We start from the raw sequence: 26,536 nt of genomic DNA, 5'->3' as shown, positions 1-26,536 counted from the left end.
GCTATAACAGAATACCATAGACTGGTGGTTTATCAACAACAGAAATTTATTTCTCACAATTCTGGAGGCTGAGAAGTCCAAGATCAAGGTGCTTACAGATTTGTTTTCTGGTGAGGACCCACTTCCTGGTTCGTGGATGTTTGTCTTCTCCCTTTCACATGGCAGAAGGGGTGATGGAGCTCTCTGGGTCTCTTTATATAAGGGCACTAATCCCATTCATGAGCGCTGTTACTCTCCTGACCTATCACTTACCAAAAGCCCCACCTCCAAATACCATCACATTGGAAATGAGATTTCAACATTAGAATTCTGGGGGCACACAAACATTCAGTCTACTGCAGACATTAAATAAGAATCTAGGGTAAATTCTAACAAAGAATACATTTGAGTTAAAGAGTGAAACATAAGACTTTAAGAAAGAAGGAACAGTGAAAATATTCTTTAGAATGAAAATGATAGTATTTATGTACTGAAAATATGTCCTTGACAGTAGTCATTGGGTTTGAAGTAAGTATGGTAGCATAATCTCCTAAAAGAACATTTCTGATACAAAAAGGAATTAATATTGTGCGGAAAAGGCATGTTCCACTCTCCCCCAGTCATACCCCAAGTTTGCACTCTTTGCTATTCCTGCCTTTAACCCCTTCTAATTTCTTTTCAATGAAACCACTGAGAAAGTAGGAAACAGAAAATGGTGGTAGTGAACCAGATATAAAAAAAAACTTCCAATGAAGAACTTAATAAATAACTTTAAAAAGAACATTTTTATACTCTAGCCATTATCATAGTACTTGGTAAATACGGGTATGTTGGCATCTTTTTCCTTGACCCATCAGAAGTCTTGAAAGATGTGGTCCTCCGGAGTTTCAAAGTGTTTTATTTATTGAAGAATGAATTTCACTACTAACCTTATTTCTTTCATATTCTACTGGCTATTTTACCAATATAAATTTAGTCTTCATAAATAAAAAAAATATGTTTTCATAGCAGCAAGTCTACGTCCATTATTGTGAAGTTTGCTTTCAAGGAGATTTCGTGTTCCATCATGAATTAAATTATCTGCTCCCTAAGTAACTTCATTTGCAAAATGTCAATAAAGTTCATAGCTCTCTATTAAAATTCGAGCCACTCTGTCATGTAAATACAGTTAGATGGTGAAATCTCACCACCTTCGTGGCAGTCATCAAAAACCTTTAAAAAAGAAAAAAAAATTATATTCAAATTAAAGTTTTAAAATATCTAAGACCCAACCACTTATTTAAAGCAAGATTAAAAACAAAACTTTCAAACTGAAAGGGACTAGGACTGTACTTAAGAACATATTATAGCCGGACGCAGTGGCTCACACCTGTAATCCCAGCACTTTGGGAGGCCGAGGTGGGTGGTCAAGACCATCCTGGCTAACATGGTGAAACCCCGTCTCTACTAAGAATACAAAAATTAGCTGAGCGTGGTGGCAGGCACCTGTAATCCCAGCTACTCGGGAGGCTGAGGCAGGAGAATTGCTTGAACCTGGGAGGCAGAGGTTGTAGTGAGCCAAGATCGTGCCACTGCACTCCAGCCTGGGCGACAGCAAGACTCCATCTCGGGGGGCGAGGGGGGAGCGGGAAGAACATACTATAATAGGGCCTGCTTTGTGATCATCAAGTTAGGAGTAGTAGAGAGGCTTTTTTTACTGTGGCATTAAGATGACCATGCTCACCTGTCTGCTGGGCAAAAGGCTATCACCAGGTAACACAGGAATATGGGCAGGGAGACCTATACATATGAATGACTTAATTTTGATTAACCAAATGTTTCATGTTTAGCTACCTTTTTGTGAAGGGTGCAAAACAGAATTCCTAATATGTTAGCCTTTTGTCTAGGGACTGAAACCAAGGCATAGAGAGCTTAGGCATATAGACAAAGGTTGGTATAATGAAATAAAACACACACAGGCTCATCTATAAATGCCATGAGGACTGGGACAGTGTCTCTTGCTTTCTCTTGTATCCTTAGTGCCTAGAGCATAGAGTTGGCACTTACAATATTTGGGAATGAATGAAGGAGGAGTGCTGGGGCATGCTGCAGGGGAAAGACATGATCTCTGGGTTTGAATCCCGGTTACTTCTAAGCTGTATGCCCCTATGTCTTCCTAAGCCTAAGCTCCCTCACTTTTAAGGGGAAATAACACCACTAGCTTCAAGAATGTAAGGAGGATTAAATGAGACCGCCTATGGAAATCATCAAGGACATATCTGGCCCAAGGTAGGTTCTCAACAAATCTCATTTTCTGCCCTATTTAGGTGAAATGATTAGCCCTCATCAAAAAGTGTCCATTTCAAGGCCAAGAGCAGAAAACGTAAATATCCTTAATGTGGTTGTTCCAAGAAAGAATGTAAAGCAGGGGGCCAGGTACAGGGGCACATGCCTGTAATCTCAGCACTTTGGGAGGCTGAGGGGATCACCTGAGGTCAGGAGTTCGAGACCAGCCTGGCCAACATGGTGAAACCCCGTCTCCACTAAAAATAAAAAAAATTAGCTGGGCATGGTGGTGGGTGCCTATAATCTCAGGTACTCAGGTGGCTGAGGCAGGAGAGCTGCTTGAACCCGGGAGTTGGAGGTTGCAATGAGTCAAGATTGTGCCACTGCACTCCAGCCTCGGTGATAGAGTGAGACTCCGTCTCAAAAAAAAAAAAAAAAAAAAAAGTAAAGGAATGATGTGTTCATTAAAGGTCTGTTCATCAAGGTTTCATGGAGGTTTGAATAGCTCTTGGTCAACCCTAAGAGTCTGAGAAAACTGGGCTGTGCTTGCTCTGTTTCTTAATGTGGCACTTGCACCCGTGGGCAGTCAAGTGTAAAGTGAAGCCACTTTAACTCACCGGGCAGAGTCCACAGGGTGCCCGGACCAAACCTGTGGGAGGGATGATTGGATTGACTGCCCTGTACAGTTTCATGTGTCCATCTACACTGCCAACTGTGCCTTCTTTTGCAGCAATAATCGTCATCTCCACTTTTCCATCATAAATGAGTGTATTCAGGATGGTTTCAATGTCTTCCATGGATAACTCTACCTAAAAAAGGGATACATCAGAAAGGACACAAGTAGGATAGGGAGACATCCACTTGGAGGGTGTTAAAAACAGTAAAGGGTTGCTGGGCGCAGTGGCTCACGCCTGTAATCCCAGCACTTTGGGAAGCCGAGGCAGGTGGATCACTTGAGGTCAGGAGTTCGAGACCAGCCTGGCCAACATGGCAAAACCCTGTCTCTACTAAAAATACAATTAGCTGGGTATGGTGGCAGGCACTTGTAATCCCACCTACTCGGGAGGCTGAGGCAGGAGAATGGCTTGAACCCGGGAGACGGAAGTTGCAGTGAGCTGAGATCGCACTACTGTACTCCAGCCTGGGCAACAAGAGCCAAACTCCATCTCAAATAAATAAATAAAACAGTAAAGGGTCATAATTCTGCTGTGAAATGGGAGAAACATTATGCTGGGGTGGAGTAATTTAAAGCACAAAGAGGAGGAACAATAGGCCAAGTTAGCACAAACCACTGAGGTGCCAGGGACAGAACTCTAAGCTCATGCTGAGTTTGACACTTTCTGGTATCTTTACTTCCTAAGTAAAATCGAGAAATCTTATAAAAAATAACATTTCTTTAGCAGGAATTTATTGGAGATTTATAAAATGCTTGAGCAGAAAGGCACTTTAGACATCAAATAGTCCAAGTTCCTAGTTTTTATGAGAAATCTGAGGCCCAGGAAATTAAAGTGACATGTCCAAAATGGCCACTTTGATTTCTTCACTGTGAAAAGCATCAGTGTCCTTAAAAAAAGAATTTCAAAAGGCTAGGGTACAGTGGCACTTTGGGAGGCCAACGCAGGAGGATCACTTGAGTCCAGAAGTTCAAAACCAGCCTGGGCAACAAAATGAGACCCTACCTCCAAAAAAATAAAAAAAGCATCAGTGTCCCAAGCTGAGTATCAGTTCAGACAATGCCCAATGGCAGTGACTGCCTTTGCCTAAGATACAGGACAGTATTTTCCCAAAGTGGATTCTGCAGAATGTTCGTAGCTATCATCTCAAAAAAAAAAAACAATGTGGGTCAAATACATGTTTGGAATACATTGTATGTGACAAAGAATAAGTTTTAAAAAATAAGATGAAATTCAGTTCTGACCTTACTGATTCCCAATTCGCAGATATATTTCCACACTTCATGTGATGAGGCAAATGAACTATTTCTTTGTATCATTGGGTTCTGTTTGCTTTCTCGTGCTGTTTCTGCCTATAAGGATTGAAACATAAGAAATGTAAATAAGAATATTGGTGTGTTTTCTGAATACACTTTATACTGAGTCAAACCAACAACAGAACATATTTAGTTAAGTAAAAATTCCCAATTTCAGGTTTTTAATTCCTATAAAATATGATAAATAGATTAAAATCCTTTGTGAAAAACTTTTTACAAGAGGGTTTGCAGTGATGTTTCCTCAATCATACCTCACCTTGGACTGTAGGAATTTAAAACACTGTTGGTTAAGCACCTCTACAAATTCAGATTCAAAATCCTGGTCACTGTACCAGGCTCCACCAGTCACAGACCGGTCTGGCTGCAGGTTATAGAGCATATACACCTTCTTTTTTGAGGCCTAGGAAAGAACATGCACAGTTCATGTGTTTATAAGATAACAATTTCCAAAAACAAAAACACCTATATTTTGGAACAGTTTAAGATGTACAAAATTATTGCAAAGATAGTACACAGAGCTCCTATATACATCATGCTGTTTCCCCTATTTTTAACATCTTGGATTAGTGTGGTACACTTGTCACAATTAATGAACTAATATTGATAAATCATTACTAACTAAATGCCATACTTTATTCAGATTTCATTAGTCCTAATGTTCCTTTTCTGCTCCAGGATTCCATCCAGGACATCATACTACATTTAGTCATCTCTCTCAGGCTTCTTTTAGTTGTGACAGTTTCTCAAACACCGTATTTCTATCACTATGGACTCATGAGTATTTATTTTATACTTTGATTTACATTCAGATACTTCATTGTTATTCCCACACTGGAAGCTTTGGAATGCTTTGGGCATTGGAAGCTTTTCACTTGGTTCCTGTATCCCTTTGCTATGCTCCCATCGTGTGTGTGTGTATTTTAGCACTTTTTTTTTTCTTTTGGAGACAGGGTCTTGCACTGTCGCCCAGGCTGGCGTGCACTGGTGCAATCTTGGTTCACTGCAACCTCTGCCTCTTGGGTTCAAGTGATTCTCCTGCCTCAGCCTCCCGAGTAGCTGGGGCTACAGGCATGTGCCACCATGCCCAGCTAATTTTTGTATTTTTAGCAGAGACGGGGGTGTCACCATGTTGGCCAGGATGGTCTCGATCTCTTGACCTCGTGATCCTCCCGCCTCAGCCTCCCAAAGTGCTGGGATTACAGGCATGAGCCCCCGTGTCCAGCTATTGTAGCACTTTCTTACTTTCTAGCACTACAAGATGTCAAGAGCATTTTCTTTTCTTTTTTTTTTTGAAACGGAGTTTCGCTCTTGTTGCCAGGCTGGAGTGCAATGGCACACGATCTCAGCTTACTGCAACCTCCACCTCCCAGGTTCAAGCGATTCTCCTGTCTCAGCCTCCCGAGTAGCTGGGATTACAGGCGCCCGTCACTATGCCCAGCTAATTTTTTTGTATTTTCAGTAGAGATGGGGTTTCACCATGTTGGCCAAGCTGGTCTCTAATTCCTGACCTCAGGTGATCCACCCTCCTTGGCCTCCCAAAGTGCTGGGATTACAGGCATGAACCACCCTGCCCAGCCGTCAGGAGCATTTTCTACATGTTCATTTTATTGCATGATAGAAACCACGACTTGGGCACTAGATGTGTTCATTGCCATCGGGATGTCATCACTTCTAGGCCTTCTCAGTTGGCAGCACGAGATTTATGTGCGCATATTAACCCTTGTATATATACATAGCTATACTCAATATTTCTAAATATAACCATCTATATTATTTATATTAAATTACACAAGAGTCCATACTGATGTTTTCAAGTCTAATCCATTACTACATGGATCATTCTAACTTTCCTTGTTTGTCTGTAACTACTCACCCCAACACTGAGGAACCCAAATTTCACTGGGTTGTAAACATGAAGAATTTGGGCCAGGCATGGTGGCTTATGCCTGTAATCCCAGCACTTTGGGAGGCTGAGGTGGGCAGATCTTTAAGTCTAGGAGTTCAAGACAGGCCTGGGTAACATAGTAAAACCCTGTCTCTACAAAAATACAAAAATTAGCTGAGCATGGTGGCACGTGCCTATAGTCCCAGCTACTTGGAAGGCTGTGGTGGGAGGATGGCTTGAGCCCAGGAGGTTGATGCTGCAGTGAGCTGTGATTGTGCCACTGCACTCCAGTCTGGGTGACAGAGCCAGACCATGTCTCAAAAAAAAAAAAAAAGAAAAAAATTTGGCTAGACTTTGTCCCTTTTTCCTAGGAAATAACTTCTACATCTTTGGAATTTCCCAATAGGCCTTGTTATTCATGGTGAATCCCTTAGATCACACCTGGGTTTATGCTAACAAGGTGACTCCTGATAGGACTCTAAATAGTTTCAGGATAGGAGTTGTCCATGCTGGAAAGACCAACCGCATGATTAGAGGGTTGGGGCTTTGGGCCACATGACATCAGTCCAATCTCTTGGGAGAAGAGAGGAGCTGGAGATTGAATTCACTCACATGACCAAGGATTCAATCAATCATGCCTGTATAATGAAACCCTAATAAAAACTTTGGACAGCAAAGCTTGGGTGGGCTTCCAAATTTGGTTAATGCTTCTGTCATACAAAATAATTTCACCACCCTAGAAATATTTCTCATGCTTCACCTATTCAACTTTCCCTACCATCCCTGCCCTCACCCCGATCTTTTTAGTCTGTCTAGTTTTGCCTTTTCCAGTATGTCATATAGTTGTAATCATACAGTATGTAGCCTTTTCGGACTGGCTTCTTTTACTTAGCAATATGCATTTAAGATTTACTCATATCTTTTCATGATAGCTTATTTCTTTTTATAACTGAATACTATTCTGGTTTGTCTATCCATTCACCTATTGAAGGATACCTTGGTTGCTTCCAGTTTTTGATTATGAATAAAGCTGCTGATTACGAATAAAGCTGCTATAAATATTCATGTAGTTATGTGGACATGAGTTTTCAAATCAGTTGGGTAAATACTTAAGAGCTTGACCTTTGGACAATGTGGTAAGACTCTGTTTAGTTTTGTAAAAACTGCCCAGTTTTTTAACAAAAGGACTGAAAATTTTGCATTCTTAGCAATGTATGAGTGTTCATCTTGGTCTGTATCTTGTCAGCATATGGTATTACCAATTTTTAGATTTTAGCTATTCTAATAGGTGTGTAGTGGTATCTCACTATACTAAATTTTATTTTAATTTGCAGTTCTCTAATGAAAAATAATGTAGAGCATCTTTTCATATGCTTATCTGCCATCTGTATGTCTTCTTTGGTGAGGTTCAGATCTTTTGCTCATTTTTAGTTGGATTATTTGTTTTCATTGTGTGTTTTTTTTTTTTTTTCTTTTTTTGAGATGGAGTTTCGCTTTTGTTGCCCAGGCTGGAGTACAATGGTGCAATCTTGCTCACTGCAACCTCTGCCTCCTGGGTTCAAGCAATTCTCCTGCCTCAGCCTCCCAAGTAGCTGGGATTACAGACATGTGCCACCACGCCTGGATAATTTTGTATTTTTAGTAGAGACAGGGTTTCACCATGTTGGTGAGGCTAGACTTGAACTCCTGACCTCAGGTGATCCACCCGCCTTGGCCTCCCAAAGTGTTGTTTTCTTATTGCTGAATTTTAGGAGTTCTTTGTATATTTTGGAGACAAGTCCTTTATCAAATATGTGATTTGCAAATATCTTTTAGTATGTAACTTGTCTTTTCATTCTCTTAATGTGTCTTGCAAAGCAGAGGTTTTCAAAAAATTTTGATAAACTCCAACTTATTAACATTTTCTTTCATAGACTACTATTGGAGTTATAGTCCAAGAATTCATTAACAAAGCCAAGGTCATGTAGATTTTCTATGTTTTCTTCAAAAAGTTTTATAGTTTTGCACTTTACACTGAGATCTAAGATTATTTTAACCCTTAAAAGGACACAGAAGTTCACCAACGGATGAATGAACAAAAGGTGATATACATCTATACAATGGAATTTTAATTGGCAATAAGAAGGAATAAAGCACAATATGGATAAATCTTGAAAACATCATGCTAAGTCAAAGTAGTCATACATAAAAGACTACATATTCTATTATTCCATTTATAGGAACTGTCCAGAATAGGCAAATCTATAATAAAGGCAGAAAATAAATTATTCGTTTTTAGGGCCTATGGAAAGAGAGGCTGGGAAACAAATACTAGTGGCCACATTTGGGGGTGATGAAAATGTTCTAAAATTAGAACAGCGGTGATGGTTGCACAACTCTTAGCTTATAGTAAAAACCAGTGACTGTAAATCCAAAGATTTTACACTTTAAAAGGTTGAATGAATTCTGTAGTATGAATGATGAATTATATTTCAGCAGAGCTGTTATTAAACATAAAGATGTAGAAGGAGGACTGACAAAATGAGGCTACATGATAGGGTTTTATTATATGATTTTTTCTACCTTTGTATATATTTGAAATTATCCATTAAACAATGTGGAAGGGAAATGCTATTCTGATAAATAAAATCACTAATAAGCATCAAATTCTTATAAGTGATGTTATAATTCTTATAATTCTTGTTTTATTCAAAAATAAAAACTTGAAGCAACATATGTAAGCGGATATTTGAGGAAAGGTCTACTCACTGCCACAGACCTAACAGCTCTGAAATTATAAAATTTGAATTATAGCTGTAATTCTTATGAAATGTGTATTGAAGCAAACTTTATTCTAGGGGAATCTCAGTTCCTCTGATGTCTAAATCAGTGAGGTCAGGGGCAGATGTCCCCGAGGGAGCCAGCTCTGGAGCAGGGGTGGGGCAGGATGAGGAGCAGGAAAAACACACGTGTACTAGAAGAGAAGCTCCACCAAGGCAGGGATCTTTCTACGACTTGTTCATTAATGTATCCCAAGCACTCAAAACAGTGTCTGGCACACAGCAAACACTCTTTGTTGAATGAGAAAGCTAATATGTCGGGATAAAGTAAATTATCTTACACACCACAAAATCTAGGAAAAATGTTCACAGTTCCAAAGATTCTTCACTGAAGACAGTAAAGTAGTTTTAGATTTTTGAGTGGGTGAGTGAGACACCAAGAGCTAACTGTGTAGGGACAAGTCTAAGCAGCATCTCCAAACCAATCCAACATGAGCTAAATTTTTAAGTCTTTTTTGACCAGCTGTTCTAAATCATGACATAACTTCAAGAATAAAAACTTGAAGCAACATATGTAAGTGGGTATCTGAGGAAAGGACTACTCACTGCTACAGACTTAACAGCTTTGATAAGCTTTTTACTTTCCAGATTCTTCAGAATTTTGTTGATTTCTGTTAATGGCAAATTACTTTTATAGCGGATATCTCTGCTCCATATTCCTATAAGAAAGTAAAGTAAAATAAGTTGAACTCTGGTTTTCATGGATTTTTAATGTTATTCCTCTAACTTGTGTCTCATTCCAAAGCTAGCAGTATAAAGCTAACAGTAAAGAATGCTGGCTAAAGTAGCAAAAGTATGCTAAACAATAAATAAGTATAATGCTTTGTAAGACTTATTATAATGATTTATAATTTCTAACTAGAAATTTCTTGGAATCCCAGTGTGGCAAACTTTTAAAAAACTTATGGAAAGGGCTGGGCATGGTGGCTCATGCCTGTAATCCCAGCACTTAGGGAGGCCGAGGCAGGTGGGTCACCTGAGCTCAGGAGTTTGAGACCAGCCTGGCCAACATGGTGAAACTCTGTCCCTACTAAAAATACAAAAATAATTAGCCGGGCCTGATGGCATGCACCTGTAGTCCTAGCTACTCGGGAGGCTGAGGCATGAGACTCGTTTGAACCCGGGAGGCGGAGGTTGCACTGAGCCGAGATCACACCATTGCACTCCAGCCTGGGCAACAGAGCAAGACTCCATCTCAAAAAAAAGAAAAAAAAAATTATGAAAACGACGTTTTTATAATGGAAGGAAAAATCATGGATGCAATGGAATTTTATCATCTGTACCCTTATCTCTGTTTTCTGATACTTTCATTTTAGATTGTAAATGTGAAATACAAACTTAAATTTGGGTCAAGGTCAACTGCCATCCTCAAGTGGGACAAAAACACTCTTTAGATGAGTGTCTGCATGCATGTAATCCATTATTTATACAACATTGTATTTGTGAGATGGAAAAGGAAGCCTAGGGTTCTTATGGCTGCTAAAAGCCCTGTGTGAGAAGCAATGATTTCTTTTTCAAAGAAGGAAATAAGTGTTATATATGGAAAGGGAATGTATGTAAATATTTTGCTTTATTTTCTTCCCAATGTAATGGCATATGAGATAGGAAGATTAAAAAAATATGCAGAATGGCTTTCTCATAGGACTATTTTTAAAAATGTTAATTTTAATAAATATAAGAATTAGTTATGTAATTTCAGATTACATCTCAATTTTTCCAGCTAATATCAATGACTCAAATAGATCCCAAATTATTGTAACTTAGGATTGCAATTTAGATACAGTTCTTCAAGCGGGTAGAAGAGAAACTATAGCTGCGGAGGGACATCTGTTAAGACACTGCTACACCACACCAGCTTTCCTTTTGGTCCTTGCAAAAACGAGAGGTGTCAGCATCCACAATTTATAGATAAGATAAAGAAACTGAAGCTCACAAAGTTTAAGTAACTTGTCCATGGTCATATAGCTAGAAGGTACAGATTTAAAAAAAAAACTTAAATTTTATTTATTTTGAATAGATAATACATTCATGTGACTCAGAATTCAGACGTCTTTTTCCATCCCTGGACACAGCCCTTTAGTTCTTGTCTCTTTCAAGGCAACAACGGCCTTACTCTTGGGTGTCCTTCAAGCACATGCATGTTATATTTGTATGTTCTATTACCTTCCTCAGTATACTCTGTCCACTGAGTTCTACCCTGGGAAGCTGAGATCTGGGTCCCTATATCTAGTTCCAAAGACAATGTTTTTTTCTGCTTCATCTTTCACATGCTTACCTTTATTTCCTGCATCCTCTATGATTTGATATACTAGTTTTTCTTGGTTATCGGATCCCTTCATTTTACTGTAGTGGAATAAAGTAAAATTAGTAAGGTAAGGACTATAGGATAATCTAATAATCTACATCACTACTTAAACAAAATTAGCAGACAAGGTCACCACAGTGACATATTTACCAAAAGAAAGGCTTACCTTAAATAGAATGAGACAGAGCTGTGTGTACCAACATGAAAAGATGTCCAAGATACAGTAAGTGAAAAAAACAAATTGCAAAACAGAATGGATAGCATGATTCCATTTTTGTTAAAAAAAAAAGAGAAAGATTATATATAAATATATAATCATCTATGTGTATTTATATATAGCTAGAAGAAAGGATATACACTAAATTATTAAGAGCAGTTACCTCTGGGAAATGGAATATATCATAGGAGGCAGGGATGATACACAGGACAGGTTTATGTAATTTTGTATTAGCTTTATTCCCAACACATACGTTTGCAAATAATAAACATTTTCTTAAAATTAAAAAAACAAGTACTTACCCAGCATTCTGAGAGTCCTTTATTCTATATAAAAGGCCCGTATTGCTCCTTAAGAGATCCAACTGACCCTAGTTTTTAAGACAGTAGAAAACAGGAGTCAGTTATTTTGGAGATATGTTAAATCAAATGACAAATGTTGATGCATTCTTTAACATTCTTAATTTTTCAAAACCTGCTCTTTAATCTCAAAATTTTTCAAAATATCACTAACAATTTCCTGTAGGCTAGATCTTGGCTTGGTTATATGATCAATGCATAAAGAATTTTTAAAAAGCAGCTTGAGAATAACAATCTATATTAAAAATCAATATAAATCCAAATTACATATATAAAATAAAAATATAATTTATATAAATAAAAAGTTGAAATAAAGACTAAATAGGCATATTCTGTTGCACAGTGAAAAATAAAATTTATAAAGTTAATGGCTGGGCGTGGTGGCTCACACCTGTAATCTCAGCACTTTGGGAGGTCAAGGCAGGTGGTCCATTTGAGGTCAAGAGTTTGAGACCAGCCTGGCTAACATGGCGAAAACCTGTCTCTACTAAAAATACAAAAATTAGCCAGGTGCAGTGGCATGCGCCTGTAGTCCCGGCTACATGGAAGGCTGAGCTGAGATCGCACCACTGCACTCCAGCCTGGGCAACAGAGCAAGACTCCATCTTGAAAAGCAAAAAACAAACAAAACAAAAAACAAAAAAAGTTAACAGTGACATTTACTGAAGTCAGCCAATGAATAAAAGGACTAGAGTAGTATTGTTTTTATATAGCAAATCAAAAGTAAAATAAAGTATGTCTGTCATGCTCCTGAATTTCCTTGGGTCCGAACTTAAGAGAACCCAGATAATTATACCACTAGGCTCTGGAAGTACTAGAAAGCCACAGTTGAGAGGGACGCTATTCCCTTGTTTATTTATGTATTTATTTAGAGACAGAGTCTCACTCTGTCACCCAGGCTGGTGTGCCGTGGCACAATCTCGGCTCACTGCAACCTCTGCCTCCCGGGTTCATGCGATTCTCGTGCCTCAGCCTCCCAAGTAGCTAGCATTACAGGTGTATGCCACCATGCCACGCTGATATTTGTATTTTAGTAGAGATAGGGTTAGGCCATGTTGGCCAGGCTGATCTTGAACTCCTGGCCTCTAGTGATCCGCCTACCTCGGCCTCCCAAAGTGCTGGGATTACTGGCAGGAGCCACTGTGCCCAGCCCATTCCCTTGTTTTAAAACAGACACTCATGACTTGGAAATGGATTTACATACTGAATGAACAGTGACACACTCCTGTTCCCTGACCCCACGAAGTGGCAAAGTAGGACTACAAGGCCCAATCCAGAGGCTCTGGTCATTTATCCAGCTTATGAATATTTACTGAATACTTGTACTGTGCCAGGTGTTATGATAGGTGTTTGGGGGAACAACATTAATTCTAAAAGGGAAACACACAGGTGACTTCAATACCCATCTGGTTGGCATTAAGATAGAGGTAAGTAAAGCCACCCTGAACTCCCAGATTGGGTACTCGGAGAACAGGCTGCGGCCCAACCTGGGGGGGTTCAGTGACTTCCTGGAGACAATGGCAGAGTTGAGTCCTAATGCGTTAGTCATCTGTAAAGAATAAGAAGAACCTTCTAAGCAGGGGAACAACATGAGTCCTGTGGCACGAAACAGCATGATGTGGCCAGAAACCAAAAACAATCTGCTCCTCCTGAAACCTAACTTTTGAAGTAGAGTGGTGGAGATGAGGCTGGTGAACAATGCAGGGACTCAGTGTGGGAAACCCAGGAGTTTGAACTTGAATCTCCAGTATAAACAAATTGTAGGTGGTAGAGTGCCTTGGTCAGACCTGCATTTAAGACAGATCAGGGGCCAGGCTCGGTGGCTCATGACTGTAATCCCAAATCAGGCTGGCTTCTCTGAGACAGATGGAGTCATGGAAACCAGTTAAGATGCTACTGCAGCTGTCCAGGTAAAAGCCATGAGCCTGAACATGATGCAGTACCAGGGATAGAAATGGAGGGGGTGTGGACAGCAAATTTAAGAACTGTTTTTAAGAGCTAAAATCAGAAACATTACATGATTTATTAATAATCACTCCCTTTCTTAATATCCTTTGATAGCTCTACTACTGCCTGCATACAACCTATAGCCAATAGGACTCGCAGTGGGTGGGTGGTGGCAGAGGTGGTAAAAGAGAGGTGCTGAAGATGATTTTCAGTCAGAAGGAAAGAGCTGAGAGGGCGATCAGAGGAAGAAAAGAACTTTTTCCACTGCTACAACCTCCCAGAATCCCTTCCTCTGTCTTTCCTAGAGCTGAAGACCTTCACCACAGTGAAATAACTAGAAATCAGCAACATTCCTTTGTCCTTGGGCTAGAACAGGGGTGAGCAATCTGCTCCACAGCTTGTTTTTATAACCAAAGTTTTGTTGGAACATGGCTGTAGCCATTTGTTTATGTATCATCATCCATGGCTGCTTCTTGCTAAAATGACAGTGTAGTTGTGACAGAAATCATATGGCTCACAAAGCCTAAAACATATACTGTCTGGCACTTTATAGAAAAAGTTTGCCAACTCCTGAGCTAGAAAATTGATGGGAAAGGTTTAAGAAAAGATTCATCGGACCCCAAATCTCCACATCCAGAGCCCTTGGAAATCCAACAAGGCTAGTAGACTTAAAAAACAAATCAGTCATTCAGATGAGGCCTTGGCGTAGAACTCTTTAACCTAACTGCTACTAAAGCCAAACTGAAATGCTCTTAGGAAAAGGATGTTTTGGTGATGAGGGAAAGTAAGGGAGATTTAGAGCATCGGCACCACTTGGTGGGTTTTTAGACAGTCTTGCTTGTTTGTTTCTGGACAGATGGAGAATGGCTTCACTGATAAATTCCATTGCAATGTCACTGGGGGCTAAGGCTGCACTTCCTCCCCAAAGCCCAACATTCTTCATTCAACTGGACTCATTCTTGCTTCCTGAAATGCTCAGAGTGACAATGTGGAGAATGAAACCCTGATGACTGGGCTCTGTGACAACTCATAGGAAAATCGGGGGGTGGAATATTTTATGGGAAATGGCCCAACACCAGCAGTAGGAAGCAAACAGAAGGTGAGAACAGACTAGACCTATGTATGGCAGTGGCAATTAATAAATACAACAGTTATACCATAATACATTTATTTCATTTGTCTTATAACGCATAATTATTTCTTCTTTTTTCAATTCAGGTAGTTTGAGCTGTTTCCTGGTTTAGAGTCTTATCAGTCAAACCTAACACACTTTCTCGTTTTATGACTGCTGTATTAGGGTTCTCCAGAGAAAAAGAACCAATAGGATACACCTCCCTCTTGAAAGATTCATCAGAAGCTATTTGCTCTGTGATTATGGAGGCTGAGGAGTCCCATCATCTGCCCTCTGCAAGCTGGAGACCCAGGAAAGCTGGTGTTGCAGATCAAAGGGCTGAGAGCAGAGAGCTGATGGTGTAGATACCAGTCCAAGTCTGAAGGTCTGAGAACCAGGAGTGCTGAGGGCACAAGATTCATAGCCCAGCTCAAGATTGAATTCAAAGAGTGAATTCAATCTTCCTCTGCCACTTTGTTCTATTTAGGCCCTGAATGGATTGGATGATGCTCACCCAACTGGACCCATATCTACTTTACTCCGTTCACCAATTCAAAATGCTAACCTCTTTCAGAAACACCCACACAGACACTCCAATAAAATATTTAACTAGATATGTAGGAATCCTGTATCTTAGTCAAGTTGACATGAAATTAACCATCACAACTACATAATAAAAACCAGTGATAATCAGCATATCAGTAATTATGCAAAATAGTTAGATTCACCTTACCATAGACAACAACCTATTGATGGCTACTGCCCGCTGCTGGGCTTCTATATGAGGCATTTCATTCTGAATTACTTGGTCTGTGATTCCATGAGGGAACTGGTGACATAATTCTATAATCCTAGAAACAAAGGTATTAATGTTATCCTTCATGGTTACCTGTTTCAAGAGACAGTGGGGGTAAAAATACAAGTAGAATAGTTTGAAACTGTGCCTTTTTCACATTTGGCAGACAATCTGGGTTTCTGTGATGGTTTTGGATCAAAGCATGTTAGAAATTGAAGAAGATGATTTCTAAATACATGTTTACAGTATTATTGTTATTTAAGAATATTTCTTTTCCTCACTAATAAGAACTTTAAATTAGAGCAAAAGTCTAATGAAATCACAGAAAAAATATTAAAGCTGAGACTTCAGTTTTCTCGGGTGTAATAAGCATGACAAAGTTAAGCCATAAATCTGCAAGCAGGAGGCAAATGCAGATGTTTCTGGTAGGAAGCCAAAATTTGTTATGACAATTCACCATAATGGGGCCTGTTTTTGGAATTATACCTACCAAACAAAAAAAGTCAAAATCTTCACCTAGTCGACATCAACAAATGTATTATTCCTAACAGTCTGAGAAAGTTGAGTCTTTTAAAACTACGTGAAAATCTAAGAGTGGCAGTGCCTCGGTAAAATATAAAACTGGGCCGGGCGCGGTGGCTCACGCCTGTAATCCCAGCACTTTGGGAGGCCGAGGCGGGCGGATCACGAGGTCAGGAGATCGAGACCATCCCAGACAACATGGTGAAACCCCGTCTCTACTAAAACATAAAAAATTAGCTGGGCGTGGTGGCGCGAGCCTGTAGTCCCAGCTACTCGGGAGGCTAAGGCAGGGGAATCGCTTGAACCCGGGAGGCGGAGATTGCAGTGAACCGAGATCGCGCCACTGCACTCCAGCCTGGCGACAGAGCGAGACTCTGTCTCACAAACAAACAAATAAAAATAAAAGTGGCAGAGGCTTTGGGTGTCCTAAAAGTCTTGAGTTCAATACTGCACTGAAACCACCTGGCTTAATGTTACTTCGTAATCACCAACTGCGCCCTAACTCCGCCTAAACGTTTTGTCATAGACGTTCCCTTAGTGACAAGAGCGATCCTGGATCAGAACATGTATTCACAAGTGTTCTACAGGGAAAGAAAGCCGAGGGCTCCTCTCAAAGCACTGATCGCGTCAAAGTAGGAAGGCAGCACGTCATCACAACTTCCCCAAAAGTATCAGGGCAAAGCCAGCCAGCTACACAAAGTTGCAAGCTGTCAAACCCATTTTGAACTTCTTGAGTTCTGCTCTCCCAGGATGGGAAGGAACAAGTGGGTCCAGAACCCCGCAATCGTTTTTCCCGCGTGCTCACCTAACCCGCTCCGGCCACTCCCAAGGGATCCCGGAGAAGGGGTCCAGCTGCCCAAATGACTGGGCGCCTGATGGAGTGCCAAGCCGGAGCCTCACTGGTTTACCTGTTTTCTATTTCGACCGGATCCGCGTCAGGCGGCTGCACCTTCACCTTCACCTCCGCCATGAGGGCGCAGTTCCTGACGCCTGGGGGGAAAGATGCACGGAGCAGCCCGGTAGCAAGCCGGGGAACCCGGGGAACCAGTGGAGGATAGCGCTCTGCTGAGGCCGAGGGGCCTTCTTCCTCGTGTCGCAGCCGGTCCTTCCTTGCCTTTCGGCGGGAGGTGGCCAAGCTGCGCCTGCTCCGGCCCACTTACAGGCGCCGCTACAGCTTCTTATTCTTGTTTTCCAGAATGTCAATGCCCATCGGACGCACAAGCCTGGTTCCTTCATTCTGAGTTGGGAAACCAACTTTTAGCACTTGGCAACTCTGTGAAGGAATATTCTTAGATGCCTATGGGAAAGCACTGGGAAAGGAACTCCAGGCGGGTACCAGGCTCCCTGCGGAGCGGCAGGGGCCGGTCTAGTTGCTAAGAAGCTGAGTCTCCACCAATCATCTGCCCAGCACCCAGTGGGCGGGGCGCGGCTCGCCGCGTCTGTGGTAACCCGGGCGGCGGCGAAGGAGGAGGCAAGAGGCGGTGAGAGGCTGGCGACTGGGTTGGGCGCGGCAGAGATGCATTAGGGGTCCCGATCCCGGGCCCCGCGGTTAGAGGAAGAGGAGGGCGGCTAGAGGAGGGGAAGAGCTTCCCTTACTCCAGCCGAAAGGATGCAGGTGTCCTTGGCAGCCCCTGATGGGCGGGAACAACCAAACGGGATTCCGGATCCGGGCTGCGAGGGGGCGGTCCACGTTGGGAGAGTTGAGGGGTCTGGGGATCCTGTTGACTGCACGTTGCCATTTGGGCCTGGCGGATCCGCCTTTTTTCTTGATTCCCTTTGCGTGGGGCCCACTGGCCACCCCAGCTTCCTAAGGGCAGCTGCTAGTTGACGCTCGCGAATTACTTCCTCTCCTACATATTTTTTATTTAGAATTTTTCAACTACTTTTATTTTATCTGCCTTTCACTTAAATGGAAATGCGACTATGGGCAAGTCTCAAGTCCAGCCACACTCCCGTAGGAGCTATTGTTGTGCTGTCAGTATCTGTAGTTTATATTCTTGGCCCTAGATCCGGAACTATCCAACAAGGCATTAAGTTCACCCCTTAAATTTAGGTACCCCATTTTTGAGAATACAGTCTGTGACAAAGCTCAAACTGCAGACATGTTCAGATCAGCATTATTAGAACTGCAACAGGCAAAACTAAAAAGAAACTAGAAATAGCCTAAATGCCCAGCCACAAATGGATAAATAAGTACAGGGAAAACTAAATAATACAGTGAGAATGCAAGAAGTAGACTATAAAAATGGAATGAATATGTAGATTATAATTGGGCAAAATCTATGGATTATTAATGAAATTTGAAAAGGCAATACAGAGATGTAAATGGTTGTTGTGTTAAGGTGAGCGTTTTTTCCCCCTGAAACCTTCTGTGCATTAATTATGACAACCTTCCTCCCCACCCTCACCTCCAAAAAGACCAGTAAGGCTTTCATACTGGTAGTTAATTATTAATACCAGGATTTATAAATACAGTAGATGAAACGGGAGGCTTGTGTTTATTGGTCACTGTTTATATTCTTGCAAACTTCCTTTCCACTGAGAAGTAGTACTCTGCAGTCCTTCTAAAGTGTCTTTGCAGCTTTCAAATACTAGAACTGCTCTGGTGATAATGGCAAGGCTGTGAACCCGGAGCTTTCCCAAAAAAGTTAGCTCTAACTAACATTTTGTGGTACACACAGAATTACTTCTGTTCCCCTTGTATGATGACTTGCCCTGAAGCCAAGAGAGCTGACACACACCAGAGGCAGGAAAAGGCGATAATGATTTACAGGGAACTCAAGTCAGAGCGTTAGTGATAGTCTCTGTTTTGCCTTACTCATTTAATTTGTCCTTTTAAAGTAACTTCTTTCTTTTCCCCATCTCATTCATTCATGCTCCTTTCGCAGAAGTGAGGTATTTAGATAATCAAAACCCCACACAAGACCTCAACAGCAAATACAGATGAAATGTAATTATTATTTCAATTAAAAAGGGAATAATATTTGTAGTGCCATGTTAACAGTATTCTCTCGTTTTAACTAGTTTTGCTGCATTTAAATTAAGTGCTGCTCTTCAGCTTTTGTGTACATTGGAATTTATATGTATATATATATAGAGAGAGAGAGAGAGAGAGAAAATGACTGCTGGTTCAGTGTGTGTCCCTCAGATCATACCATTACGAGTGCCTCAGCCTGGAAAAGCTAACCATGAAATTGATAACAATACGCTTTTGGAAATGAAATCAGGTAAGAATCACATATGTTTGAAATTGTTTAAAATAACATTGTCATATTTCTTGTGTTATCTGGTTGCTGGTTTATCTCTTTGCCTGCTTTCTCACTCTTTGCTCAGCTTTTTGGGAAATTTGTAAAACTTCTAAAATTTGAAACAGTGCTGTACATTGATGGTTTATAGAGTGGTATACATTTAGATTAAAATGGTTAGCTTTGACCAACCTTTCATTTGTATAGTTTCAGCAATGTCTTGACTTACCTTAGCCAAGGTAAGATGTCCCGGTGCTGGCCGGGTGCGGTGGTTCACACCAGTAATCCCAGAACTTTGGCAGGCCGAGGCAGGTGGATCACTTGAGGTCAGGAGTTCAAGACCAGCCTGGCCAACATGGCAAAACTCTGTCTTACTAAAAATACAAAAATTAGCCAGACATGGTGGTGGGCACCTGTAATCCTAGCAACTCAGGAGGTTGAGGCAGGAGAATTGCTTGAACCTGGGTGATGGAGGTTGCAGTGAGCCGAGATCGCGCCAGTGCACTCCAGCCTAGGCAACAGAGCAAGACTCCGTCTCAAAAAAAAAAAAAAAAAAAAAAAAAAGTCCCGGTGCTCCCCAAACTTTTCCAATATGCTCATTATTTAGCTGGTATAATAAATTTGACCTACTGATACAGGCTTTCCAGTCAGACAGGTTGGAGACTTAATCCCTGCCTTGACAACTTCTAGTGACCTTGGGTACATTACTTAGCCTTTTTGAGTCTGTTACCTCACTGTAAGACAGGAATAATAATATCTACTTCTTAGAGCCATTGTGAGGATAAATAGGTTCGTGTATGTATGAGGTGCACAGGGTTTGGCATATAGTAATGTGAAAATAAATCTCAACTCTAACTACAGAAATAAAGCAGTGAGGGCCAGGCCTGGTGGCTCACGCCTGTAATCCCAGCACTTTGGGAGGCTGAGGCAGGTGGATCACCTGAGGTCAGGAGCTTGAGACCAGCCTCCTGTCTCTACTAAAAATACAAGATTAGCCAGGCATGGTGGCCAATGCCTGTAATCCCAGCTACTCGGGAGGCTGAGGCAGGAGAATTGCTTGAAGCCAGGAGGCGGAGGTTGCAGTGAGCCGAGATGGCGCCACTGTACTCCAGCCTGGGAGACAGAACAAGACTCCATCTCAAAAAAAAAAAAGAAAAAGAAAAAAGAAATAAAGCAGTGAATGTATATCCTGCTAATACGTATTCTTCAAAATCTTAAATATGTGTGTATATCTACACATACACATATATATACATACACATATATAATTAACATAAGGAAGGAAAGTTTCACAGGTAAAACATATGAACAAATAGATGTGTAAAAAAGACTTTGAAATTCCAATTTTTGCCTTTTTTTAACCAATTATATATTTTAATAACTGAAATGTGTACAAACTATCTGCATTTATGTTATGACCCCTGTGCTGCTTAGACCAAGAGTTCTAACTAAGCATATGTATTATTATCTGTGTTCTCCTTTAGCTTAAAAGCTGATACAATTTTTTAAACTGTCAAACCAAATTAAACATTTTAATGTATGTGCCCATAATTCTTAGGAGAAGTTGGGTGACTATTGACAAAAGATGATATGAATGGTAGGGTATCAAAATTCCCTAATATGTAAATATCAAATAAATAAATAGTTTTCACAATTCAGTAACAAAAAGAACAGTAACCCAGAAGAAAAATGGGCAAAGGATATGAAAAGACCTTTTTTTTGTTTTTTCTTTTACAACTTTTATTTTAGGCTTGGGGGTACATGTGCAGGTTTCCTACCTGGGTATATTGTGTGGTGCTGAGGTTTGGGGTATGATTGAGGCCATAACCCAGGTAGCAAGCATTGCTGTAGGTTTTCAGCCCTCCCCACCCTCTGGTAGTCCCCAGTGTCTATTGTTCCCATCTTTATGTCCATTTGTACCTAATGTTTAGCTCCCATTTATAAGTGAGAACACGTGGTATTTCGTTTTCTGTTCCTGTGTTAATTCGCTTAGGATTATGACCTCCAACTATATCCATTTGCTGCAGAGGACATGATTTCATTCTTTTTTATCACTGCATAGTATTCCATGGTGTGTATGTACCACATTTTCTTTGTCCATTTCACCATTGGTGGGCACCTAGGTTGGTTTCATGTCTTTGCTATTATGAATAGTGCTGTAAGGAACATATGGGTACATGTGTCCTTTTGGTAGAACAATTTATTTTCCTTTGGGTACATACCCAGTAATGGGATTGCTAGCTTGAATGGTATTTCAACTCTTATTTCTTTCTTTTTTTTTTTTTTTTTTTTTTAAGACCGAGTCTTACTTTGTCACCCAGGCTGGAGTGCAGTGATGCAATCTTGGGTCACTGCAACCTCCGCCTCCTGGGTTCAGGTGATTTTCATGCCTCAGTCTTCGGAGTAGCTGGGATTACAGTTGTGTGCCACCATGCCCAGCTAATTTTTGTATTTTTAATCTGCCTGCCTGGGCCTCCCAAAGTGCTGGGATTACAGATGTGAACCACCGCGCCCGGCCTCAACTCTTATTTCTTTGAGAAATTTCCAAGCTGCTTTCCACAGTGGCTGAATTAACTTACATCCCTGCCAATAGTGTATAAGTGTCCCTTTTCTCTGCAACATCTGTTAGTTTTTGACTTTTTAACAAAGGCCATTCTGACTGGTGTGAGATGGTGTCTCACTGTGGTTTTGATTTGCATCTCTTTGATGATTAGTGATGATGAGCATTTTTTCATGTGTGTGTTGGCCACTTGTATATCTTCTTTTGAGAAATAATGAAAAGACATTTTGTAGGAAAGGAAATATAAAGGTCTCTTAAACATATGAAAATATTTCTTCTCCTTACGCTTCTCTCTGCCCCTTCGTCTGCTTGCTGAGCAGAACTTATCCCTGCTTCACCTCCAAGCACTTAATCACCACCTGACAAACTACATTTCCTTGGTTGTTTACTGTTTCAGTGTCCTTCCTAAAACATAATCTCCATGAGAGCAGGGACCATTCTAGGTACAGGGGATATGCAAGGAGCCCCTAAGATATACTTTTGCATATCCCCTATACCTAGAATGATGTCTGGTACATAATAGGTATTCAGCAAACATTCATTGTAATGAATTAGTGAGTTTTACTCAAAATGCAAGAAAGATGAATTGAAACTACAAGATAGTATTTTTTTTAACCTAGGAAATTAGGAAAACTAAAAGAAAAATGGATAACACACTAGATGAGGAAGATTGTGGTCAAATAGGTGTTTTCATGCATTGCTGGTGGCAGTGTAAATTGCTTAACCATCCATGGAGGGCAGTTTGGAAATATTAATCAAGATTACAAATGCTGGCAGGGCATGGTGGCTCACACCTGTAATCCCAGCACTTTGGGAGGCTGAGGTGGGCAGATCACCTGAGGTCAGGAGTTCGAGACCACCTTGGCCAACATGGCAAAACCCCGTCTCTACTAAAAATACAAAAATTAGCTGGGCGTGGTGGTGGGTGCTTGTAATCCTAGCTACTCAAGAGGTTCAGGCAGGAGAATCGCTTGAACTCGGGAGGCAGAGGTTGCAGTGAGCTAAGATCGCACCACTGCACTCCAGTCAGGATGACAGGAGTGAAACTCCGTCTCAAAAAAAAAAAAAAAAGATTACAAATGCATGTATCTTTTGACTCAGCAGTAACTAGTTCTACATATTTGTCTTGCCCATATATTTACAGAAATAATTCTTTACAAAATTATTTATTATAGTGCTTATAATTGCAAAAGAAACAAAGAAAAGGAAAAAAGAAGACAGCCTAAAGATCCATGTGTAGGGAATTGGTTAAATTATTGTTCATCTATATAAGAGAATGTGGTGCAGCTATAACAAATAATGAGGAAGCTCTTTTTTTAAAAAAATTTAAATTTATTTCCTAGGGAGCTCTTTATGTACCAATATAAGACATACTGATAAATGAAAAAAGAAATATGTGGAACAGGGTACAGTATGCCATCATTTGTGTCAAAAGAGAGGGAGAAATAAGAATATGTACATAGATGCTTGTATGGATATAAAATATTTTTGAAGGTTACTGAAGATACCATTGATAACCTCTGGGAAGCTGGTGTCGTGGGTTGGGGGAGACTTTTCACTGTATACCCTTTTTGACCTTTTGAATCTTGAATCATGTTTGTGTCAGTGCCCTGTTGGAGAGGCAAAAGAGCATAGTGGTTCAAGAGCAGGGGCTATGTATCCAACCTAGCAGAAGTCAAATCACAACTCCTCTATTATTTAGCAACTTTATTAATCTCTCTGGGACTCAGTTATCTCATCTATAAGATGGGTGTAAAATAGGACCTACCTCATAGGGTTGTACAGATGAAATGAGCTCATTCAAGTAAAGCACAATGCTGGTACAGAGAAAGAACTGCATTATTGCTATTACTATTCATTTCCATTATGTATATATAATAACCTATAGATCAGTTATTTAAGGAGATTAACACAATCTTAAATCACAACTTTTTTTTTTTTTTGAGACGGAGTCTCGCTCTGTTGCCCAGGCTGGAGTGCAGTGGCGCAATCTCAGCTCACTGCAAGTTCTGCGTCCCGGTTTCTGGCAATTTTCCTGCCTCAGCCTCCTGAGTAGCTGGGACTACAGGCGCCTGCCACCACGCCCGGCTAATTTTTTGTATTTTTAGTAGAGATGGGGTTTCACCATGTTAGCCAGGATGGTCTCGAACTCCTGACCTCGTGATCCGCCCGCCTCGGCCTCCCAAAGTGCTGGGATTACAGGCGTGAGCCACATGCCTGTCCTAAGTCACAACTTTAAATCTTAACTTAAATCACAACTTTAAATCTTAAATCACACACTTAGATCTTAAACTGACCTATAGGCATTATTCAGGGACTTGCTACTTTGGTGTTAATTATAGTTATCCTGTTTTGGATTTTTCAGACACTCCAGATGTCAACATATATTATACTCTGGATGGCAGCAAACCTGAATTTCTAAAGAGAATTGGTTATGGGGAAAATAACACATTTAAGTATATAAAACCTATTACTCTGCCTGATGGAAAAATACAAGTTAAAGCTATTGCTGTCTCTAAGTAAGTTAAGAGCATGGTGATTAATTTAATTTATGATATAATAACATTATGTTCTAATTTTATTCATTTTTTCCTATCAGAATCAGTGCTGCATTAGAAGGACACTACTGAAACATTATTTTAATTTCAGCATATGTATGTAACATTTGTGTTTTACTTGCCTTTCATTGAGGCATACCGTAAGGTGCAGAAATCATAAGTATACAGCTCAGTGAAGTGTTATGTATATTAATACTGTTTTTATTTTAAATTCCACATTGGGGTTTCAGGAAGGAAGATCCTTTCCAGGGCCGGGGGTCTCTAAAGAGCTCCATCTTGCTCTGAAGAAAATACTGTGTTCGCGGAGTGGCTCTTTTATTCCCCAGGATGCAGCCTACAACCACCGCCGTCATTCTCGATTTCGTTTTGTATCGACTTAATTGGCCTTCAAAGCTACTGTCATTTCAACTTGTTGGACATTAGCTACCATACTTTTTTCTTTATCCTTTTTTTTCTTAATGACTTTTTCCCATTTTCAAATATAGAAACACTATTTAATTTGGCAACCTTCACCATGTGTTGTAGGCAAAAAACAAAACAAAACAAAAAAAAACCTCAAATCCTTGCAATTCTGTGTGGCTGTGATATAGGAATTATTTTTCCAGCAATGCAGGTTTGGCCACATTTTGGGAACATTTAAAAGCCCCAAACCAAATGCAGTACCTGGCTGGCCCAGGTACTTTAAAGGACTCTAGCCCCACCCCCCACTGACTGAATTACTGCATGGCTTTTTGAGGAGAGCTGCACATTCCACAGCAAACATGATTGCCTTGGCATCTGAAAATTATAACAAATAAAATGAAACAAAACAACCCCTTTATGCACATTATTATTGTTTTAAAGTGTGTGCTGCAAATGGAGTATATGCACGTTATTATTCTTTATAAAATGTTGTCACACTTGCCAGGCCACTTCTATCAAGGTAAGTCATCTCAATTATTAAAAATTAAGAACCTCAATACTCTGGTGGCCAAATGCTGTAAAGCAGGCCTCCTTAGAAGCTGCAAGTAGTAGTAAAATGAAGAGGCAATTTAATGACTGACTATGCAGTTTGAAGGAGTTAATAAGGCTTTCAAGAGAGAGTAAAAAATAAGGTCATTCTTTATGCCTCTCACCATTCTGCTCTGTGTCCACTAAGTGTCTATTCTGAAAGGTACTGTTAGTATTTCAGATGTGCTCAGCTTAGGGAAAATATTTATTTAAAAACGTTTGAGTTTTCAACTCAAAAGGTGAATGCCTTAGCTGGTTCCCCAAGGAAGGGCCAGCTGGGGTGGGGGAAACAACCTGGATCTTAGGGGGTAGAATAGGTGGATATGAGCCAGGCCTCTACTCATGTGACCTCATGTGGGGTTGTAAGTGTGCGTTCTGGGAGCATCAAGACCATCCAAGATTCAGGTGATCCCTGGATGGAGAGGCTTGTGATGCCTGGGAAGTGTGTGTTAACAGGAAGGACAATTGGATCTTGAATGACAGGCCTGGGGCCAAAGGTGAACATACAGATGAGATGGATGCTGAGGCGAATAAGTTAAGGAAGTGGTTCATCTAAAAGATCATCTATATCTGTAACCAGATTTATGAATCTGTTTAACATTAAACAACATAGAAGTTTTAAGCTAACTTTCTTGAAGATGGAGAAAAAAATTCTAAGAAATACACAATTCATCTAAATAGCCACTACCTATCTGTGAGTGACAGTATTTAGAAATAACATCTCAGCTTTCTGTGATCAGAAGACACTTGCATGTTCACTGGCTGGAGTGACTCATAGGTGGCTAAATTTCCCTGTTTAAATCTCTTCTTTAAAAAAAACAACAAAACCAGATTTAAAGATTCATAAATCTTCCGCCCTAAGATCCAGGGATACTTATTTGCTTCAAGGTTCAAAAATTTTAAGAAATATAAAAGTTGAGCATGTAAGAAATCTGAGCAGTTGCTGAAGAAATGCTAATGAGCCAGACAATGTGTATTAAAGATCATA

At 40.4% G+C, this 26,536-nt stretch overlaps 2 protein-coding genes and 1 non-coding gene across 35 annotated transcripts in view, besides 2 other annotated features; 1 reads left to right on the top strand and 2 right to left on the bottom strand.

Moving 5' to 3' along the window:
• Positions 1–25: 25 nt before the first annotated feature.
• On the bottom strand, positions 26–17,282 carry POLR3F (RNA polymerase III subunit F). Of its 6 annotated transcripts, NR_104209.2 has the most exons (10): positions 17,104–17,282; positions 15,611–15,728; positions 13,307–13,368; positions 11,763–11,830; positions 11,214–11,281; positions 9,485–9,597; positions 4,491–4,634; positions 4,163–4,270; positions 2,862–3,049; positions 26–1,191 (listed from the first exon to the last, which is right to left on the bottom strand). NR_104209.2 is itself a non-coding variant. In NM_001282526.2 (9 exons), exons 2-9 carry the CDS (start codon positions 15,665–15,667, stop codon positions 1,114–1,116), a joined length of 828 nt encoding a protein of 275 aa, NP_001269455.1. In that variant the 5' UTR covers positions 15,668–15,728; positions 17,001–17,282; the 3' UTR covers positions 26–1,113. The 6 variants fall into 6 exon arrangements, 5 of the variants coding, with proteins under 5 accessions (NP_001269455.1, NP_006457.2, XP_047295793.1 ...); NM_001282526.2 differs by lacking the exon at positions 13,307–13,368 and having other exon boundaries at positions 2,862–3,053; positions 17,001–17,282; NM_006466.4 differs by lacking the exon at positions 13,307–13,368 and having other exon boundaries at positions 2,862–3,053.
• On the bottom strand, positions 13,981–14,057 carry MIR3192 (microRNA 3192). The gene has a single exon (NR_036160.1). It is a non-coding gene; the product is annotated as a microRNA 3192 (primary transcript).
• Positions 17,144–17,762: an enhancer, noted in NCBI's record as "H3K27ac-H3K4me1 hESC enhancer chr20:18447554-18448172 (GRCh37/hg19 assembly coordinates)". NCBI's record gives its function as "activates a minimal SCP1, AML or CMV promoter by ChIP-STARR-seq in naive and primed H9 embryonic stem cells {active_cell/tissue: H9 hESC(naive and primed)}" and the evidence as "EXISTENCE:reporter gene assay evidence [ECO:0000049][PMID:30033119]".
• Positions 17,202–17,521: an enhancer, noted in NCBI's record as "active region_17585". NCBI's record gives its function as "activates an Ori minimal core promoter by ATAC-STARR-seq in GM12878 lymphoblastoid cells {active_cell/tissue: GM12878}" and the evidence as "EXISTENCE:reporter gene assay evidence [ECO:0000049][PMID:35858748]".
• Positions 17,642–26,536, top strand: part of DZANK1 (double zinc ribbon and ankyrin repeat domains 1) — an 83,664-nt gene continuing 74,769 nt past the window's right edge. For 8 of the 28 annotated variants that reach the window (NR_160274.1, NR_160273.1, XM_006723584.3 and 5 more), the window contains exons 1-3: positions 17,642–17,676; positions 19,295–19,422; positions 24,366–24,519. Coding sequence is in view for 23 of the 28 variants with exons in the window: in XM_006723584.3 (XP_006723647.1) it covers positions 19,314–19,422; positions 24,366–24,519 (263 nt within the window). In the remaining 5 variants the exon portion in view is untranslated. Of the gene's footprint in view, positions 18,538–19,292; positions 19,423–24,365; positions 24,520–26,536 lie in introns of all 28 variants that reach the window. The other 20 variants (XM_047440251.1, NM_001367611.1, XM_047440248.1 and 17 more) reach the window with 7 other exon arrangements.

This window comes from Homo sapiens, chromosome 20 (assembly GCF_000001405.40).
Source record: "Homo sapiens chromosome 20, GRCh38.p14 Primary Assembly".
Classification (NCBI taxonomy): Eukaryota; Metazoa; Chordata; class Mammalia; order Primates; family Hominidae; genus Homo; species Homo sapiens.
The sequence above is the reverse complement of the archived record's forward strand: the minus strand, read 5'-3'. Positions and strand labels throughout refer to the sequence as shown.